The 20,341-nt window shown below is 45.1% G+C and overlaps 1 pseudogene across 1 annotated transcript in view; it reads left to right on the forward strand.

Moving 5' to 3' along the window:
- Nucleotides 1–3,836, forward strand: part of CCNYL3 (cyclin Y like 3 (pseudogene)) — a 29,980-nt pseudogene extending 26,144 nt beyond the window's left edge. The window contains exon 11 of the transcript NR_158158.1: nucleotides 1,652–3,836. The product of NR_158158.1 is annotated as a cyclin Y like 3 (pseudogene) (transcript). The remainder of the gene's footprint in view (nucleotides 1–1,651) is intronic.
- Nucleotides 3,837–20,341: the final 16,505 nt, after the last annotated feature.

Genomic DNA, 20,341 nt, shown 5'->3' on the forward strand with positions numbered 1-20,341 from the left:
TTTTACCCAGGCTGGAGTGCAATCTCGGCCCACCACAACCTCTGCCTCCTGGGTTCAAGCAATTCTTCTGCCTCAGCCTCCCGAGTAGCTGGGATTACAGGCATATGCCACCACGACCAGCTAATTTTGTATTTTTAGTAGAGACTGGGTTTCACCATGTTGGTCAGGCTGGTCTCGAACTCCCGACCTCAGGTGATCTGCCCACCTTGGCCTCCCAAAGTGCTGGGATTACAGGCGTGAGCCACTGCGCCAGGCCAATGATCCATATTCTTAAAAATGTATTGATATTCTCTCTGCTATGACCATAATTCAGAATATTTTTAATTAAATTTAATCTGATTTTAATGGGCTTTGTTTTTAACCTCTATCCGTTCATACAACAATGCTTGAATAAATGCAATTGTATTCTTAATTATACCTATATACACAATGCAGTTACCACTCTTGACTGTCTTTTACTTACACAGTTTGCAAATTTATGTCATTGTCTACCGTATATATCACGGTGCAGTCCCATGAGTTTATTAGACAAAGCAGTAGTGGCTGAGAGACTTGTACTTAGACTGTATAAGGTGCCAGTGTTTCAAGTACTGGCTGTAGGAAGGACATGGGTTTTTAATGAAAATGGTAACTTTCATGGGGTAATGTAAGATTTATGGCTTCTGACCCTTGGTGAGTATACAGGAAAATTACAACTGAAATAGACATATATAAAATTGGCACTTTCTCTGGTATCTTGGTGATACTTTAGAATAATACATTTTTCTACCACAATGTGCATGTAAAGTAGCACCTTATGGTGCTTCAGTCATTAGACTTCTTGGATGTTCCAAATAGCCCAGAACAAACCTGTCTCATTAAAATTTGCTTTGAGTATATAGTAACTAACAAGAATTTGGTAGAATTTGAATCACTGAGTAAATCGATTTTTTGGCACAAGTGCATGTTTATTACATTGAAGGAACAAGTGCACAGGTAACAGATATTGTTGTTAGGAGCTTGTCACAATACTCTTGAAATCTTTGGGAGTCCTATTTTATTTTTTATGTGACTATCATCAAGCGATGAGCCCAATTTTAAAATAACTTAATAAAGTAAGTTCCTCTTGGCTCTGGCAATCTATTCATAGCCCTGGCAATCTATTCATAGCCCTTAAAGGAGATCACCTTAGTGAATGGGCAGGGAGTAGCATCCTCAGAACCTGGCAGTGTAAACCTCAGCCAAAGCAGTTGCAAAGGGACCATCTAAAGGAATCTGCATGTGTGGCTTCTCATCAGTGATGCCTTTTAAAAAATGCTGGAGCCCGGCCGGGCACGGTGGCTCAGGCCTATAATCCCAGAACTTTGGGAGGCCGAGGAGGGAGGATCACGAGGTCAGGAGATCGAGACCATCCTGGCTAACATGGTGAAACCTCATCTCTATTAAAAATACAAAAAATTAGCTGGGCATGGTGGCGGGCGCCTATAGTCACAGCTACTCAGGAGGCTGAGGCAGGAGAATGGTGTGAACCTGGGAGGCGGAGCTTGCAGTGAGCCGAGATCGTGCCACTGCACTCAAGCCTGGGCAACAGAGCAAGACTCCATCTCGAAAAAAAAAAAGTTGGAGCCCTTTTTAAAATTGTACCTGTTTTCTCTTTGACTTACTTTCCTAGGCTATGTCACGGCTGTGTGAATACAAAGACTTGCATCAAGATGCCGCTGCTTTGAAAAGGGTTATCAGCATGAATTTCATTGGTATTGGGTGCTCTAATGCCATCTTATCTTAAAGAGAAAAATTGGCCTTATAAGACCCTGAACTTCTCAACTGTAAAGACTAGAAAATATCACTTCTGCTGAAAGAAACAACAATATTAGGATTTTCTTTTTTTCTTCTTTGTTTTATTTGTTATTTTTTTGTTTGTTTGTTTGTTTAGGATTTTCATCAAGAGGAAGTATCTTCAAGTTAGCCACATTGTGGAACTGGGTGATGGTGGGATGAACAGTGGGTGCCAGGTGCTTCCTGCCCTTCCTCTTTCACTGGGTCCAGATGGCATTCCTAGGGCACCACCTTCTTGAACAACTCTTGGAGAGAAGGAGTGTCACATGGACACAGCACATCCCAGCTCAGAGTCCAGTCACCCAGTCTCAAGCAGGTGCCAGTGGTGTCCACAGTCACCCACAGTCCCTAGCAGGTGACAGTGGTCTGAGCTGAGCTGGAGCTAAAAAAACTTTAGAATTGGCTCCAGATTTGTGAGAGCACCTGGGTTTGGTTCTCTGTCCACTGAGGCACTGAATGCATGATGGCCCAAAACTCAACAATGTTGGGAAGAGAGAGTGGCATTGGGGCAAGACTGTCGTTACTCCAAGCACCAGGGTGGCTCAGGTCTGCTCATCTAGTCTTCGGAGGGAATCTGTGCATGTGAAATGAGGCCCCCACGTCATGGTTATAAAGGAAGAGATGAAATCAGCTCATCTTCTCCCAGGCTGATAATGGTCACTCCACCTAGGGAAGCAGTAAAAGACCTGGCCTTGGGATTGTTAGGGGAGCTACAGAAGTGAAAACTGAATTTACCCAGTTCCGGGAAAACAACAAAGGAGGAGCATCTGGGTTCAAAACCTTATCAGAAGATCATTTTCCCAGCTAATCTTGCCCCGATGCATTGTATGGTCTCAGCGCTTATCAACAAAACAAAAGCCTGTCTATAATTCTAACACTGGGACACACCGCACCTCACATTTTCCAGTGCACTGCAGTGGTTCAAGAGATTGCTGGTGCTGCCTGCATCTGTCTGTTTGCATATGGAGAGGAGCTGAGGTTCTCACGGGAGCGGCTTCTGCATCCTGAGGAAGTTTACTCACGCAGTTCTGGTTGTAATAACTGGTGGCAGCTACTGACATGCAGTCAACAATGGGACTCCTATGGTGCACAGGACTGCCCCCCTTGTCAATCAAGAAATAATTTTCTGGCTTCCAAAATAGAAGGTGCTGAGGAGCAACTGCCTCAGAGTCTACAAGGGAACCACTTTCTGAGACTTTCTTTTCTCTTACAAGAACACCAGATCCCCACCAATGTGAGATGTTAGATCAAGTTTTTGTGCAAGGGTGGATGTAGGGGGCAGAATCCTAAGATGCCCCATGATCTCTGCTGTCTTTTGTTACACCTGAATCCTCATCTTTTCTTGGGTATGGCCAGACCTGTGCCTTGTTCTAGACATTTGAATATGGCAAAGTGAGGGAGTGGCTCTCTGCGAGTTACCTTTCCTTTCCTTTTATCGGGAACTATAGGAATCCCTATTTTCTTTCTTGCGTTTACTTTCACAGTGCAGTGGTTTGGAATATCCCACCGTCAATTTGCGATTTCCTCCTCCAACCATAATCTATGGCCCTTTATATGTAATTGAATGTTTTCATGTATTGATATTTTGTCTGAAGATAAAATATTAGACTAAACATGTTAAAACATTTCATGCAAAACCTTCAGTGGTTGTAAAGTCTACTCTGGTGAATACACAAATTTATCTATTTTATATATTAAAAATTATATTAGTTGTGATAATATTTTCTTTTTTATCTTCACTTGTTAGATATAGTTACTTAAGTTTTTCCAAAATTAATGATATTGTATCTTATATTTGATTTAAAATACTACTAGGATATTTGGATTGATCGTTGAAAATAAATGGCAAAATAAGAATTGCTGAAACCTAGTGATAATGTACTTAGGATGGGTTTATTATCTATTATCTGTATCTTTGTTAAATGTTTACATTTCCATGAAAACCTATACCTAACAACTTAAAATTTTGTGTAAAATCCTTCGTGCCCTGCACTTAGGCTCCACTGCATAATGAATAAAAGGAAAATGGATTCTCCTGCGGGAAGTTCTGCTGGGCTCTCCCTTTCTTTTCCCTGCAACATACGGAGAGCATTTTGAGGTCTCCATGGGGTGAGGTGGCCGTGAGTGCCGGGAGGAGTGCATGTGTGGAGATGTGTTTCGTGCCCACGATTCTCCCTTGGGTCTTTCTGACTGTGGTGGTGGCTTTGAGGATGGTTTCTGAGGATCCTCTCCAGGGGAGCTCTCCGCTTGTGAGATCTCCATCTGGGGAGGGGGGAAGATGTCTGGGGAGGGATTTATGGGGTCGCCCCTGTGTGACAGAGGCGCCCTGTGCGGGGTCTCCGGGAAAGCATATTTTTAGGGGTGGCTGGGGGAAGCCATCGTCTGGGTGGAGGGTGGGGCCTAGTCTCCCCTGTAGGGGGGGCGGGATGTCTGAGGGAGTGCTGGAGGGTCCTCCTGTGAGTCGGGGTCGCTGTGCAGGGTCTCAGTACAGCCCTCGACCTGGGGAACTCATTGTGGAGACCCCGAGGTGGTTGGGGCGGGGAAGGGGGCAGCCTGGGCAGTTGCCGCAGTGTGTCAGTGTCGCTGATGCCAGGAGACAGGTTTGGGAGGAGTCTTTGGAGGGGAATAATTGTGGAGTCCCATGTTCCGGGCGGGGAACACTCGAGGGTGCTCCAAGGCCAGAGGTCAATGCGGGGTGCGCGTGAATAACCTAGGGGGACACTCAGGGGAATGATGGCTCCCCCGAGAGGTAAAGGGTGGAAAGAAGGGGCCTCAGCAGGTTAGGTCTTGCAGGGTCCTTCTGTAGGGCGTCTGGGAGATAGATCCGTGGGGCTCCTAGGGTCGCCCCTACCCGGCGCGGGGTATTTTCCCGTCTTCAGACCTTTCTGGGTCCCGGAGGAAGGAAGTGAAACTGGCATCGCTCTCTGCATCGCCCGGTGGACGCGGCCAGGAGGCCTGGGCTCCCGCCTGCCACACTTGGCGCTTGGCAAACTTAGTTCGGGGGAGTCGCGGGGCTCCTGGGCGGGGAAGCTCCTTGAGCCTTGGAGACAGTGGGGCCACCCCTTAAGGGCAGGCAGCAGGAAGGAACGGAGCTAGTTGCGCACCTCTGCATCCTTTTATTACGGAATTGGAATTGGGTTTACTTGGCCGACCGTGCGGAGCGGAGGGTGGGGTCGGCGCTCCCCCTCCTCCTTCTCTGCTGGGCTCAATTTCCAGCCCAGATCAGAACCCTTGGGGCGCCTGCTGAGGGGAGCGCGGCCTGGTGCGGGGGGCGGCCGCGGGCTCCCGGGGCTGTCAGGGGACATCTGCGCCCTGTGAGCTCCAAGCCCGCCCCACAGCTCCTGAACCAGCCAACACGGGCGCCCGGCGCAGTACGCGGACCCGCAGCCCCAGCTCCCGAGGTGGACAATTTTGCTCCAGAGCGAGCGGCGACAGGTAGGGCTACAAACAGAGGGAATGCGGAGGGCTGGCCAAAAAATGAAAAAAATAAAAGGCAATTTATTGAACGTGGTAGTCATGAAATGTGGAGTTTCGTATTAGATTTGAGTGCTACATTGGGTTTAGAATGAGTGACTACAATGCAGTTTTAGGGCTGGCGATAGACAACTGTAAAACTCCAGGAAACTGCGGATAGGAGAGTCGTTGATAACCTTTCTGTGAGATGGCTCTTTTGAGCTGTGTTTGATAAGAAATATGCCCAAACCTACGAGTACAGCTTTCACATTCCTAACAATCTGAGTCACTCTGAGTCAGAGTGGTCTTCAATAAATTACGATCATTTCCTTTGCTTTTCTGACCTGGTTAAACGAATCACATGGTTCCTGCCCATTAATACACCTGCATCACTAACCAAACCTTTGCGTGTTAGCTTGCTGCCTCCATTTTCTTTATTATGCTTTGAAATGGACAAGAAATAGATTTCATTTTTACAATCTGTGCCCTGGGTTTCTCAAAATCTTAAACAACCTTAGTGTATGTTGACCTGTTAATTTTTTAAAATGCTTTACTGGGGTATATTTTATATAATATAATCACATATTTTAAGTACAACTCCAGGCTATTTGGTATATTTATAGAGCCATGCGAGCTTAATTACCATCTAAGTTTAGAATATTTGTATCCCTTAAGAGGAAAATGCATCCTACTTGCATTCACCTTTGCCATGTCAGATCTAGACAACAATCAATTTTATGTCTCTATAGATGAGCCTATTATCAGAGTTTCTAATAGCCAGGATCATGAATTATGTGGTCTTTTGGGTCTGGTTCCTTTCGCTTAGCCTAATGTTTTTGGGTTTCATTTCTGTTGTAGTTTGCATCATTGCATCATTACATTATTCCTCTTGGATGGCAAGTGGAGTTCTATTGCATGGACATGACCACATGTTATGTGCATTCATATGAGCGTCTTTGTATGATTATAGGAATTTCCTTTGCATACTAACTTTGGGTTAGAATTTCTGTGTCCTATAGTGATTTTATGTGCAACATTTTGAGGGATAGCCACATTTTTATTTCGTATTGTTTTATTTTCAAGGTGGCAGAATATTTTACATTCCTATTTGCAGCATATGTGAGTTCCATATTCTCCACTTCTTTTCTAACATTTGTCATTGTATCTTTGGTATAGCCATTCTAGTGGGTGTCAACTAGTACTAATTGTGGTTTGATTTGTATTTTCTTAACAACTGATGAAATTGAGCAAATTGGCAAATTGTGTATCTTCTATGGAAAACATCTATTCAAATCTTTTGTCCATTTTTAATTGGTCAATTGTTGTTTTATTATTGACCGATAAGAGTTTTTTATATATTCTAGATACTAGCTTCTCTGAGTTTGGTTTTTAAGATTCCATATATAAATGAGATTTTATATAAAATATATATGATATATATATAAAATATATATGTGTGTGTGTTCTTTATAAACCCTAATATACCCAAATAATGTATACAATTTAAAATATTTTTCCCATTAAGCAGCATATGTTTTCATATTCTTTTTGATGTTCTAAAAACAAAAGTTTCCAATTCAATAAAGTATAATTTATTTTTTTAATAAAATTGTGCCTTTGGTGTAATATCTTAGACATATTTATGTAACCCAAGAATACAAATATTAACTATAAGATTTCTCCAAAGAATTTTGTCTTTAACCTCTTACATTTTGATATATTACCCTTTCTGAGTATTTTTGGGGGTCTGTGGTTTGAGTTAGGAGTCCACTTTTTCCTTTTGCAAAGTGTATATTTAATTTTCCCAGCAAAATTTTTTGAAAAGACATTTATTTTCCTTTTACAATTTCTTGGCATCTTTGACACAATCAATTTACCATAAATTAATGTGTTTATTAGTGGCCCTTCTATTCTATTCTGTTGGCCTACATGAATCTATACTTATGCTAGTACCAGACTATAACATTGCAGTAAAAATTGATACTGGATGGGTGAGCAAGGTGGCTAACACTTGTAATCCAAGCATTTTGGGAGGCCAAGGCAGGAGAATTGCTTGAGCCCAGGGGTCTGAGACTATCGTGGGCAACACACCAAGATCCCATCTCTACAAGAAAAAACAAATGTTAGCGGGATGAGTGGCATGCACTTGTAGTCCCAGCTACTCATGAGGCTGAGGTGGGAAGATCACTTGAGCCCAGAAGTTCCAGGTTGCAGTGAGCTGTAATCCTGCCACTGAACTCCAGCCAAGGTGACAGAGCAAGACCCTGTCTCTGAAAAAAAAAAAAAAAAGATATTGGCAGTGTAAGTAACTAAATTTTGTTATTCTTTTCAAAAAATGCATATATTTTATTTCCTTTGCGTATCCACATGCATTTTAGGAAGAGGTTTAAAATTTTTGTTGAAAAAACCTAGAGAATTTGCATTAAATCTATAGATCCAGCTTTTAGTATTTTGATATTAATATTAAGCATTGTTATTCTTGAATATTGATGTCTCTCAACATATTCAGTTCTTTGATTACTTTTAGCATTTTAAAATAATTTTTCACTATGATGTCATTGCTCTTATTTTCTTAAAGTTATTTCTGACTATTTCTTCCTTTAAGAGGCTTTTACCAATGGTATTTTTGTCTTCATTTAATTTTTAGATTGACTAATTTTATACAGTAGTACAATTTAAGTTTGTATGTTGATCTTGTATCTGATTGTATCTAATTAATTTATTAATTCATATAGGTTTTTAGTAAATTTCTTACAAATATTTATACAAAATCATGACATGTGAAATGACCTATTTCTTTTTCAATCTGGGGAGTGGGTAAGAGACGGGTTCTGCCTAGGCCTGGCCCTTCTTCCCATCTGGTCATTGTGTGAGGCCCAGAACCCATGGTGGGAGCTATGGAGAGGCACAGCCTCTGCCTGGGTCCCTGGGCCTGGAGGGGCAGGGCTGTAGGGAGATCCTGGCTCCCACTTAAGCTGGTTAGGATGGATGCCAGAGCTGTCCTGACGGGGCCCTGGGAGCACAGCAGAGGCCCTGGGGGGTGCCCTGGCGAGGTGGGCATGCTCCCTCTCCCCAGCTGAGCTGCCCTTGGCCTCTTGCTGCCAGCTCTGTTCCCCCTGGGAGAGACTTGGTTCCCTCCTGGCAGGGAAGGGGCTGTGAGGATGGGAAGGTGGAGCCACCAGCTTCTCAGTTGGAGCTCAGAGGCCTGGGGTACCAGTGCAGTTGTCCTCTGGGAGACAGTGATGGGGGGTTCCATCCACCTCCCTCTCACCATCACCAGTGACTCTCAGGAAGGAGGTGACTGTCAGGGCACCTGCAGGGGGCAGCAGGAACCAGAGGCCCCAGCTGGCCTCTAGGCCCAGAAGGCAGAGGAGATGCTCAGTGCCTGTGATTGGCAGACTGGGGCAGCCCCTCAGGGCCTGGGCCCAGCTCTACATCAGCTGTTGCCAAAGCAGTTCTGCCCAACCCTCTGGGGTGGAAGCTGAGCAGAGGACCCCCATTCAGGGCGCTTATGCTGTCAGCCAGTCTCCTAGGCCCTCAATCTTCAGGGGTGCAAGTACCCCAAATGCCGGGTTCTCCTGTCACCCAGTGGCCTTGCCAGGAGTGGCCCCTTTCTGGGGGTATAGGGAGATAGGCCCGAGTGCAGATAGCTGTGTTTTCTGGTATCCTGGAGCCACTGGGGCCTCCTGGCCCATAGCCGTCCTTCTGGCCAACCTTCAGCCAGATGCAAGGCAAGGGGAGTGCACCCTTCCTGGGGCAGCCCTGGTAAGTGTGGCCCATTGAAGCCCAAAGCCAGCTCGAGCTCCAGCCTGGGACCCACCAGCTGCATTAGAGCAAGGGTAGCGGCAGAGACTGGAGTGAGGAACACAGATGGCACCAGGGAACTGGCTACTTTGCTAACATGGCAGTCCTGAGACCCCAGGGCCCAGGAGAGGGTGGCACCAGGGAGCAGTGGAGTCCTCATGAACAAGTTGGCTACTCTCTCACTGGGGAGGTCCCCAGGGCTTCACCCAGAGATGATGAGACCTTCAGGGTTCTCCAGAGGAAGGAGGAGGGGCAGGACAGACCCTCATGGGTAAAAGGAGGCCTCTGGGGAACCAGCCACGTTGTTTTGAAATCTGATCAGGGGATAGATGCCCTCTGCAGGTGGTGGGCTCCCAGAGCTGGGGAGGGAGGATGGGGCCTGTGGCCACCTGGCCTTGTCTTCCCTCTCCTTATCCATGCCTCCCATTCTAGACACGCCAAGGAGCACAGGTTTCTCATCTAGGTCCAGGTCTCTGCCTCCCCACTTCTGGGATCTCAGAGCTCAAAACTGCTGCTTCACAGTGGGTGGGGGCCCTTCCTCCTTCTCCCCTCATTCCAGGGGCATACCAGTCAACACAGCCTTTCTCTGGGACCTTGTAGGGTAAGTTCCTCCTCCTATCTGCCCTTCCTCTTGCTGCTTCTTGAAAACCAATCGATCTCTGCCCCTCCTACTCCTGTCTGCTCAGTCATTAGTGTCAGGCAGTTTTTCACTGTGGGGCATGGCTGCTCACTTACCAAGAGCTTGGGGTTACCCTGCCTGGGAGCTGTTGGGTCGCCGGAAGGGAGAGGAAGTCCTTGTGCATCCTTGTGCTTCTTGGCAGTTTCATGGAGGGGTGACAGCAGATGCAGTTATTGAAGACTCTCAGTGGCTAGGGTTTTGGGCAGTGCAGCAGCCGTGGGGGTGTGGCTGTGGAAGGGAATCTGGTTTCCTTCTGACCGGTGTCCTTAGGTCAGACTCTGGACCTTTCTGAGCCTCATACACCCTTATTTGGGGTGAGAAGGAGGGGACCATATCTGAGCTCCCGGAGGTCCTATTTCTATGTCGTGGGATACAGGGGAGGGATAGTAGCTTCTCTCCATGTCCCTGGTATGCCTTTCTGTGCTGGCAAAACCTCTGTCTGAGGCTCCTGCTCCATGCTTCCAGTGGGTCATGTTTGGGCCCACACATTTCTGGGAAATGCACCCTAATCCCACTGCTGAGAGCTGGGTAGGGAAGAAAAGATGGGGCTGGCTGGGATGGGTGGATCTGGGTGCGCTGTTCTATCTGGAAGCTGACCCAGACTCTGCTCAGGGCTGAGACTTTTGAGCTCTCAGCCAAGCCAAGCCAAGCAGGCCTGCCTGGCTGATGGGCACACCCTGGGGTCCCAGGTCCCCATTTGCTCAATGGGCATCCAGGCAGGCCTGTGTTTGCTGGAGGGTTTCTGAGAGGAGGCCTCAGCTCCCAAAGGCAGGGAGGGGCTCTCCTTTGTTCCCCTGGTGCCTAGGTAGGAATGGAAAATTATGCCACCTACTCCCCACTCTCCTCACAGCCTGTAAGTTGGGGGATGGGGTGTAATTCTGCCATCAGTGGTCATTCTGGCATTTGAGAAGAGGGCTTATTTCACCTAGGCCTAGAAAGATGAGTGTGCATGCCTGAAAGAATGGAATATCAGGGGCAGCCTGGACAAAAGCACAGAGGTGGGAGGGCAGGGGCATGGTCTTCAGCCTTCTGTGTTTTGGCCCTTCTAGACCTGAGTGGGAGGCAGGAAGAAACTGAGGCTGGCTTTAGGTTGGTGCCTGAGAGTGCTGGCTTAGGAAGCTTGACTTAGAGAGCAGTGGGCTTATTAGAGGGGTTCCAAGTGGCAGTCTTGAAACAGGAGAAATGCCCATCCCAGGGCTTGGCCACAGAGGTAGGGGACCATGGGCCAGTTGGGAGATTAGGATTAGTGATTCAACAGGGAAGGGGGACCTACACAGAGCAGCGGCCAGTTTGTGGAGGAAGCTAAATTCCATTCCCACAAGACAAGTCTTCAGTGACGCTTAAGGGTCAGCCACATGTGATGCCTGGGAGGCAGCTGTCCCCTCCATCTGTAAAGCCTGATCAGGGCCAGGATTAGGATTTGCCATGGGAACTTCATGGTGGAAGGAGGATATTTGAAGCCATGGAGAGGATGAGGTGAGAAAGAGAAGAGGCTGGGCCCAGGCACATCCCCAGCTCAGGACTGGTGGAAGGGGATGGAGCCAGAGAGGGAGGGACAGGGGGATCATGTTGGTCAGGGAAGAGGAGGAGGGAGTGTGCAGTGGTGGGGGGTGCTGCTGAGAAGTCACACACATCAGGGCTGGAGAAGATCCTTGGGCTGGGCCCTAACAGTGGCATTGGTGACCCTGGGGAGAGTGCTTTGGGCAGTGTGCTCAGGTGGAAGCCATGCCATGGTGGGCTGAGGAGCAGCAGATGGGAAGGGAGGGCTCAGGATGTGGGAGGGAAGAGGCGGTGGACTGCAGGGGTGCTGAGGATGAGGTGGGACTGTGGGTTGGAGGCTCAGGAAGGTATGCAGACACTGTTCTATAAGGCACATGCCCCCCCAGGTGAAGTGAGGCAGACAGCCCTCCCTCACCAGCTAGGCCCATCTGATTCAGCTCCATCCTTGTCACCCCCAGAGCCACAAGGACTCCCCAGAGAACTCAAAGAAGGATGTTGGTGCAGCCAAGTCACCCAGAAAAGGTGGGCTGGATGAGGTCGATTTGGGAGATAATATCCCAGGATAGGAAGTCATTGTTATTCAGAACATGGTTTTGCTGTGAAGATCCTGGCCTCCAGGATAGAGTCCTTCTCTCACAGGTAAGGGGGAGGAAGGGATGCTGGAGACCAGGCCTGAGTCTGCTGGGAAGGATGAGGCTAAAGTACCAAGTCTTACCCATGCTCCTTCTGACCCCATGTCATAGGCAGGAAACGGAGAGTCCTGTGCCTTGCACAGGTGCCAAGACTAGCTCGGTCATGGAGACCCTAACCCAGTGGCACTAGAGGAATTAAAGGCCCACAGAAATACAGAGTGTGGAGTGGGAAATCAGGGGTCCCACAGCCTTCAGAGCTGAGAGCCCTGAACAGAGATTTACCCACATATTTACTGACAGCAAGTCAGTGATAAGCATTGTTTCTATAGATTATATATTAACTAAAAGTATTTCTTATGGGAAATAAAAGGATGGGCCAAAGTAAAGGGATGGGTCTGGCTAGTTATCTGCAGCAGGAGCATGTCCTTAAGGCACAGATAGCTCATGCTATTGTTTGTGGTTTAAGAACGCCTTTAAGGGGTTTTCCGCCCTTGGTGGGCCAGGTGTTCCTTGCCATCATTCCAGTAAACCCACAACCTTCAGCGTGGGTGTCATGGCCATCAAGAGCATGTCACAGTGCTGCAGAGATTTTGCTTAGGGCCAGTTTTGGGGCAGTTTATGGCCAGATCCAGGGGCCTGTTCCCAACATGTCCCCCTTCTTTATTTTGCAAAGAGATAAAAACAAAGGCAGCTTTGTCACAGTGAGCTACTTCTCACAGGAGTCAGGATCTGCATCTGCATACTACACAAAGACAAACAACACAGATTAAAAGCACAATCATCATTGAAATCATAGAGCTTCCAAGTGTTTTTGTCCATTTTAATGGATTACTAGCTGCTAACCCAACTGCAGCTCCTTCAAGTACTGCAGTTCCTGGCATTAAGGTCAGGTGTGCCTGGAATGCTTTAAATATTTGTTCTTTTAATTTTACAATATCCAAAGACAAATTTTTAGAGTGTGCTTCTAGATGCTTTTTATTCTTTCCTAAATTTTGTTCTTATTAAGAGTCATTAATAGTTTCCACAAATCCTTATGTTTAGGTCCTATAACAGGCCATATCATTTGAGGTTGAGGGGCCACTATACCACCATGGTGCCAGATAATAGGAACTCTTGCCATATTTCTTATCGTTTCTACCATCTGACCATTTTATTCAGACCAGCTGAACATAGTATGGCCATGGCATGCAGAGGGGTGCAATTCAATCTAAACAGCCCATTAGGGACAAATCAATAATGATTCCATAGGAATCGTTGCACCAGCACCTTTGCCTGTTCTGCAATGCAATCTTCCTAAACAAGTACATTCATTTTTTCTGCCCAGGTTCAATTCTGTTTACAAATAGGTTTTTGAGGCCAGTATGCCTCAATTGTAGGACCAGATTTATTATGACAAATACTGAGATCAGAAAGCATGCATAACTGTGTCATAGAGTGATTACATCCAGGCATTATTGCCAGCCAAGATTGATAAATATGCCCAATAAGTATAATTGTTCTCTGTGTCAGCCCTTGTTGAAGGAATACTCATGGCAATGGTGATCACCACTATCATAGCTACCGTTAAATTACTCATTGTGACTGGTTGTCCCTCTTTCCTCAGGTTTTCTTCCACCATCTGTGACAGCTTCTTGATCTGTCCCCAGGTGGGTGGCTGTGTTCAATGGGTGCTGCTCATGACAGTTGGGGTCCTCCTCAGTGTCAGTCTCGACATGACTGCAACCAGGGGTTCCTTGGGTTCTTCCTGGAATCTCTTCCTCAGCATCTGACTCATGATAAGGTTTCAGGTTTCTTGATGATATCCAAATCAGCTGTTGACTCAGTCCTGGAAAAACACAAGCATAACCTCTACCCTGTTATTATTTTACCTATTTCCCAACTTTTTGTTATCAGATCTCTCCATCAAACCAGTTGTTTTGCTTCTGTCTTTGCAGCTGGTTTCTATAGATGCTGTTCAGCTGCTAACATTTGGCCTTTAGGCACACTCAAAAAATTTAAAGTTAATAATGCTAGATTCAATTGTGTATGGGCTGTCCCATAATCCCTGTTCCCCCTTTCTGTTTTTGCAACTGCTCTTACAGGGAGAGATTCATTCTTTCTACTATGACTTGTCCTTGAGAATTATATGGGATACCAGTAATGTGTTTAATATCCATATAGAGAAAAATGTACTAGAGCTTGGCTAGTATAGCCTGGGGGAATTGTCTGTTTTAATAGAAGCTGGAATGCCCATCACTGCAAAACACTGCAAAAGGTGATGTTTAACACAGGCGGAAGACTCTCCTGGTTGGCATGTAGCCCAGACAAAGTGAAAAAAGGTGTACACACATACATGTACATAAGCCAGTTTCCCAAATGAAGAAACATGTGTGACATCCATTTGCCAAAGAGAACTAGATTCCAATCCTTGAGGATTAACTCCTCCTGTAAAAGATGAGGAATACACCATTTGGCAATTTGGGCATCATGGATAATAGCTTTAGCTTCTTTCCAGGTAATGCTGTATCTGCATTTGAGACCAGAGGCATTAACATGGGTTAAATTGTGAAAGTGTTTAGCATTAGATATTGCAATAGCAACTAGGCAATCAGCCATTTGTTTCCCTGCAGTCAAAGGTCCTGGAAGAGGTGTATGAGCCCTAATGTGAGTGTTGTAAAAAGGGTACATTTTACTCCTAACTGCTATTTGCAGTTGGGTAAATAAAGTTATCAGTTGTTCATCTGTATGAAATCATAACTGAGCATTTTCAAATAATTGTGTGGAATGAACCATGTATGAAGAATAAAAAATCACATTAATAGGCATATCAAAAGTGGTCAATACCTCAATTACAGCTACAAGCTCTGCTTTTTGAGCTGTAGTATAGGGCATCTGAAAAACTTTACCTTTTGAGCCAGAATAAGAAGCTTTACCATTACTAGACCCATCTGTTAAGACATTCTCAGCACCTTCAATTGGTTTAAATTTAATTATTCTAGAGAGGATCCAGTTAGTTAATTTCAAAAATTGAAACAGTTTTGTTTCAGGAAAATTATCAAGAATACCCACAAAGTTAGCTAAATGAGTTTGCCAAGTAAGACCATTTATAAAAGCTTGCTGTATGTTTGCCTTCATGAGGAGGACAATAATTTTTCTAGGATCATATCCATGTAATTTAACAATCTGAGTTCTCTCATTTCCTATCATAGTAGCGTTTTGATCCAAATAAGGAGTTAGAGTCCATGAATTAGTATGTGGAAGAAAAAGCCATTCTACTAAGTCCTGTTCTTGGACAATAACACCAGTAGGTGAATGCTGAGTTGGAGAAATTAGCAAATCTGGAGTCTTCTCTGGATCTATTCTATTTATTTGGGCTTTATGGACTTGCTTTTTGATCAACTGCAGCTCTGCCTCAGCTTCTTTTGTTAATTGCCAAGGGCTAGTGATACTAGGATCTCCTCTAAGAACAGAAAATAGATTACTCATGGCATAGGTAGGAATGTCTAGAGCAGGTCATATCCAATTAATGTCGCCTAGTAATTTTTGAAAGTTACTTAATGTTTTCAATCGATCCCTACATATAGTTACTTTCTGTGGCACAATGGTAGTGTCATTTACTAAGGTCCCCAAGTAGGAGTAAGGAGGAGTAGTCTGAATTTTGTCAGGAGCTATAATTAAACCAGTGTCAGAAATTGAATTTTGCAAGTGATCATAACACTGGAGTAATATTTCTCGAGTGGGGGCAGCACAAGATATATCATCCATATAATGAATAATGTAACACTGTGAAAATGTTTTATGAGTAGGTTTAATTGCTTGCCCTACATAAGTCTGGCAAATTGTTGGAATGTTTAACATGCCTTGTGGCAACACTTTCCAGTGAAAATGCTTAGCAGGCTGCAGGTTGTTTACTGCAGGAATTGTAAATGCAAACCATTCACAGTCTTGTTCAGCTAAGGGGATAGTAAAGAAACAGTCTTTTAAATCTATGACTTCTAATGGCCAATTTTTCAGAATCATAGCAGGAGAAGGCAATCCTGGCTGTAATGTCCTCATAGGTTGTATAACTAAATTAATATCTCTTAAATCAGTTAACATTCTCCATTTACCTGATTTTTTCTTAATTACAAAAACTGGAGAATTCCAAGGGGAAAATGTTGGAGCTATGTGTCCGTTTTCTAATTGTTCAGTAACTAATTCCTCTAAAGCCTCCAGTTTCTCTTTATTTAGCGGTCATTGTTCTATACAAATTGGCTTATCTGTTAACCATTTTAAAGGTATAGGTTCTGGAGGCTTAACAATGGCTGCCATCAAAAATGATATCCTAAACCTTGGCGGGAACTTTGTCTTTCCACTTGAAGCAGTTCCTTCAAACCTTGCAAATTTTTTTCCTAGTCCCATACCAAGGACATACTCCATTTCATGCATCATATTGTGACTCTGAGGGCTGTATAATTGCTCTGGAATTAGAATTGTCCTCCCCATTGTTGTAATAAACCTCTCCCCCATAAATTTATAGGTACAGAAGTTACAATTGGTTGAATAGTCCCAGGTTGTCCATTGGGCCCTTCACAATGCAAAATATAACTACTTTGATACACTTCAGGGGCTTTACCAACTCCAACTATGTTAAATTGAGTGGGTTGAATTGACCACACAGATGGCCAGTGCTGTAGAGAAATGCTTGAAATGTCTGCTCCTGTATCTACCAGACCTTTAAATTTCTTTCCCCGAATAGTTATTTCATAGGTAGGACACTTATCAGTAATTTGATTCACCCAATAAGCTGCTTTGCCTTGTTTATTTGTGCTTCCAAATCCTCCTTTTCATTTAATTTCACTTTTCCTCATTTCCACATACAGCACAATCAGGAGCTGTGCTATACGCTCTCCTGGCTCTGCTTTCCAGGGAACAGAAGTAGATAAAACAATTTGAATTTCCCCATTGTAATCTGAATCAATGACTCCTGTATGTACTTGTACCCCTTTTAAATTTAACCTAGACCTTCCTAGAAGTAATCCTATAATCCCCGCTGGCAAGGGTCCATAGATCCCTGTTGGAACTTTTTGTGGGGGTTCCCCAGGCAGAAGCCTTACAGCTTTTGTGCAGTGTAAATCTACTGCAGCACTACTGGCTGTGGTGGGGGACAGACATTGTACAGGGGTGAGGGAATGGCCTGAGCTGGAAATGTCCCAGTTTGGAACAGGGCCTGGGATGGGCCCCTCATGGCATTTCCCAAAATCGGGTTCCCATCTTTATCAAACTTAGAGTGACACTCATTAGCCCAATGTTTTCCTTTTTTGCATTTTGGACATATTTCAGGCTCAGCAGTTTTCTTTTTTCCCCTATCTGGTGGCCTGACTCGCTGATTTTTTCTACATTATTTTTTAGTATGACCATGCTTCCCACAGTTAAAACAAGCTCCAGGAAATGGAGTATTTCCTTTACTCAGTTTCAGTCCTGCCATTGCCTGGGCTAGCAGAGCAGCCTTATGCAGATTACCTCTGATACCATCACAGGCCTTGATATAATCAACTGAATGTGTTTTCTGTCTAACAGATTGCAGAGCAGTCTGGCAATCGGGATTAGCATTGTTGAAAGCTGATAACTATAACACTATATCCTGCAATCACCTTTGTAAGAGACTCCTGTAACCAAGCTATAAAGTCTGCTTACAGTTCTTTTGGTCCCTATTTTACAGCACTAAAGGAAGGGAATTGCTCTGCTCCTGAAGTAATTTTTTCCCAATCTCTAATGCACACTCCTCTAAGCTGCTCTATGGCATTATCCTGCATGACCACTTGTGCATCTAAACCAGCCCAGCTGCCAACCCCCAAAAGTTGGTCTGCAGTTATATTAATTTGAGGTTAGGCCTGGGTGTTGTGAGCAGCCTGAATGGAAGCTTCATCTGCCCACCAAGTTTTAAATTGTAAGAATTGAGCGGGAGTTAAACAAGCTCGAGTAAGAGCATCCCAGTCAGTAGGAATCATCCAAATGGAAACAGCAACATTCTTTAACAGTCCCATTACAAAAAGAGAACCTGGTCCATATTGATAAATAGCTTGTTTAAATTATTTGAGTAATTTAAAAGGAAAAGGCTTAAATGTAGCTACAATATTTCCCTGTTGATCTGGGGGGTATATTCTAACAGGGAATTGCCAAGCCTCTAAATCACCCTCTCTTCTAGCTTGCTGAATTCCTGTCTGAATAAAACTGAGAGCAGTCACTGGAGGCACTGCTTGAAAAGTCACTAGAGCTAATACTTTTCATCCAGTGTCCTCCAGAAAAGAAAGATCTGGAGGGTCAGGCCACTCTTTTTCTTCAAAATAATGAGGTGGTGCAGAAGGGTAGGGATGAACCTCTTCCTCCTTTGCTGCTTTAGCTTTAGCTGGCAAACAAACCTGCTCTGTTTCTTCATTATACTGTCCTTCCTCCTCATCATCAGTGTGAAAAGGTTCCAAGGTGGAATGAACCAGAGCCCACACTTGCCCCATTGTTACCCTGATGCTTCCAAGCTCCCCTTCTCATTCACCATGAGGATTGCTTAAGAGTACTTGGGTGAAGATGGCCGAATAGGAACAGCTCCGGTCTACAGCTCCCAGCCTGAGTGACGCAGAAGATGGGTGATTTCTGCATTTCCATCTGAGGTACTGGGTTCATCTCACTAGGGAGTGCCAGACAGTGGGCGCAGGTCAGTGGGTGCATGCACTGTGCGTGAGCCAAAGCAGGGTGAGGCATTGCCTCACTCGGGAAGCACAGGGGGTCAGGGAGTTCCCTTTCCTAGCAAAGAAAGAGGTGACAGAGGGCACCTGGAAGACTGGGTCACTCCCACCCAAATACTGCGCTTTTCTGATGGGCTTAAAAAATGGCGCACCAGGAGATTGTGTCCGGCACCTGGCTCGGAGGGTCCTATGCCCATGGAGTCTTGCTGATTGCTAGCACAGCAGTCTGAGATCAAACTGCAAGGCCGCAGCAAGGCTGGGGGAGGGGCGCCCGCCATTGCCCAGGCTTGCTTAGGTAAACAAAACAGCCTGGAAGCTGGAACTGGGTGGAGCCCACCACAGCTCAAGGAGGCCGGCCTGCCTCTGTAGGCTCCACCTCTGGGGGCAGGGCACAGACAAACCAAAAGACAGCAGTAATCTCTGCAGACTTAAGTGTCCCTGTCTGACAGCTTTGAAGAGAGCAGTGGTTCTCCCAGCACACAGCTGGAGATCTGAGAACAGGCAGACTACCTCCACAAGTGGGTCCCTGACCCCTGACCCCTGACCCCTGAGCAGCCTAACTGGGAGGCACCCCCGAGCATGGGCAGACTGACACCTCATATGGCCAGGTACTGCAACAGACATGCAGCTGAGGGTCCTGTCTGTTAGAAGGAAAATTAACAAACAGAAAGGACATCCACACCAAAAACCCATCTGTACATTATCATCATCAAAGACCAAAAGCAGATAAAGCCACAAAGATGGGGGAAAAACAGAGCAGAAAAACTGGAAACTCTGAAAAGCAGAATGCCTCTCCTGTTCCAAAGGAACACAGTTCCTCACCAGCAACAGAACAAAGCTGGATGGAGAATGACTTTGACAAGCTGAGAGAAGAAGACTTCAGATGATCAAATTACTCTGAGCTATGGGAGGACATTCAAACCAAAGGCAAAGAAGTTGAAAACTTTGAAAAAAATTTAGAAGAATATATAACTAGAATAACCAATACACAGAAGTGCTTAAAGGAGCTGATGGAGCTGAAAACCAAGGCTCGAGAACTACGTGAAGAATGCAGAAGCCTCAGAAGCCAATGCGATCAACTGGAAGAAAGGGTTCAGCGATGGAAGATGAAATGAATGAAATGAAGCAAGAAGGGAAGTTTAGAGAAAAAAGAATAAAAAGAAATGAGCAAAGTCTCCAAGAAATATGGGACTACGTGAAAAGACCAAATCTACGTCTGATTGGTGTACCTGAAAGTGACGGGGAAAATGGAACCAAGTTGGAAAACACTCTGCAAGATATTATCCAGGAGAACTTCCCCAGTCTAGCAAGGCAGGCCAACATTCAGATTCAGGAAATACAGAGAATGCCACAAAGATACTCCTCGAGAACAGAAACTCCAAGACACGTAATTGTCAGATTCACCAAAGATGAAATGAAGGAAAAAATGTTAAGGGCAGCCAGAGAGAAAGGCTGGGTTACCCTCAAAGGGAAGCCCATCAGACTAACAGCGGATCTCTTGGCAGAAACTCTACAAGCCAGAAGAGAGTGGGGGCCAATATTCAACATTCTTAAAGAAAAGAATTTTCAACCCAGAATTTCATATCCAGCCAAACTAAGCTTCATAAGTGAAGGAGAAATAAAATACTTTACAGACAAGCAAATGCTGAGAGATTTTGTCACCACCAGGCCCACCCTAAAAGAGCTCCTGAAGGAAGCACTAAACATGGAAATGAACAACCGGTACCAGCCGCTGCAAAATCATGCCAAATTGTAAA

Source organism: Homo sapiens, chromosome 16 (assembly GCF_000001405.40).
Source record: "Homo sapiens chromosome 16, GRCh38.p14 Primary Assembly".
Lineage (NCBI taxonomy): Eukaryota > Metazoa > Chordata > Mammalia > Primates > Hominidae > Homo > Homo sapiens.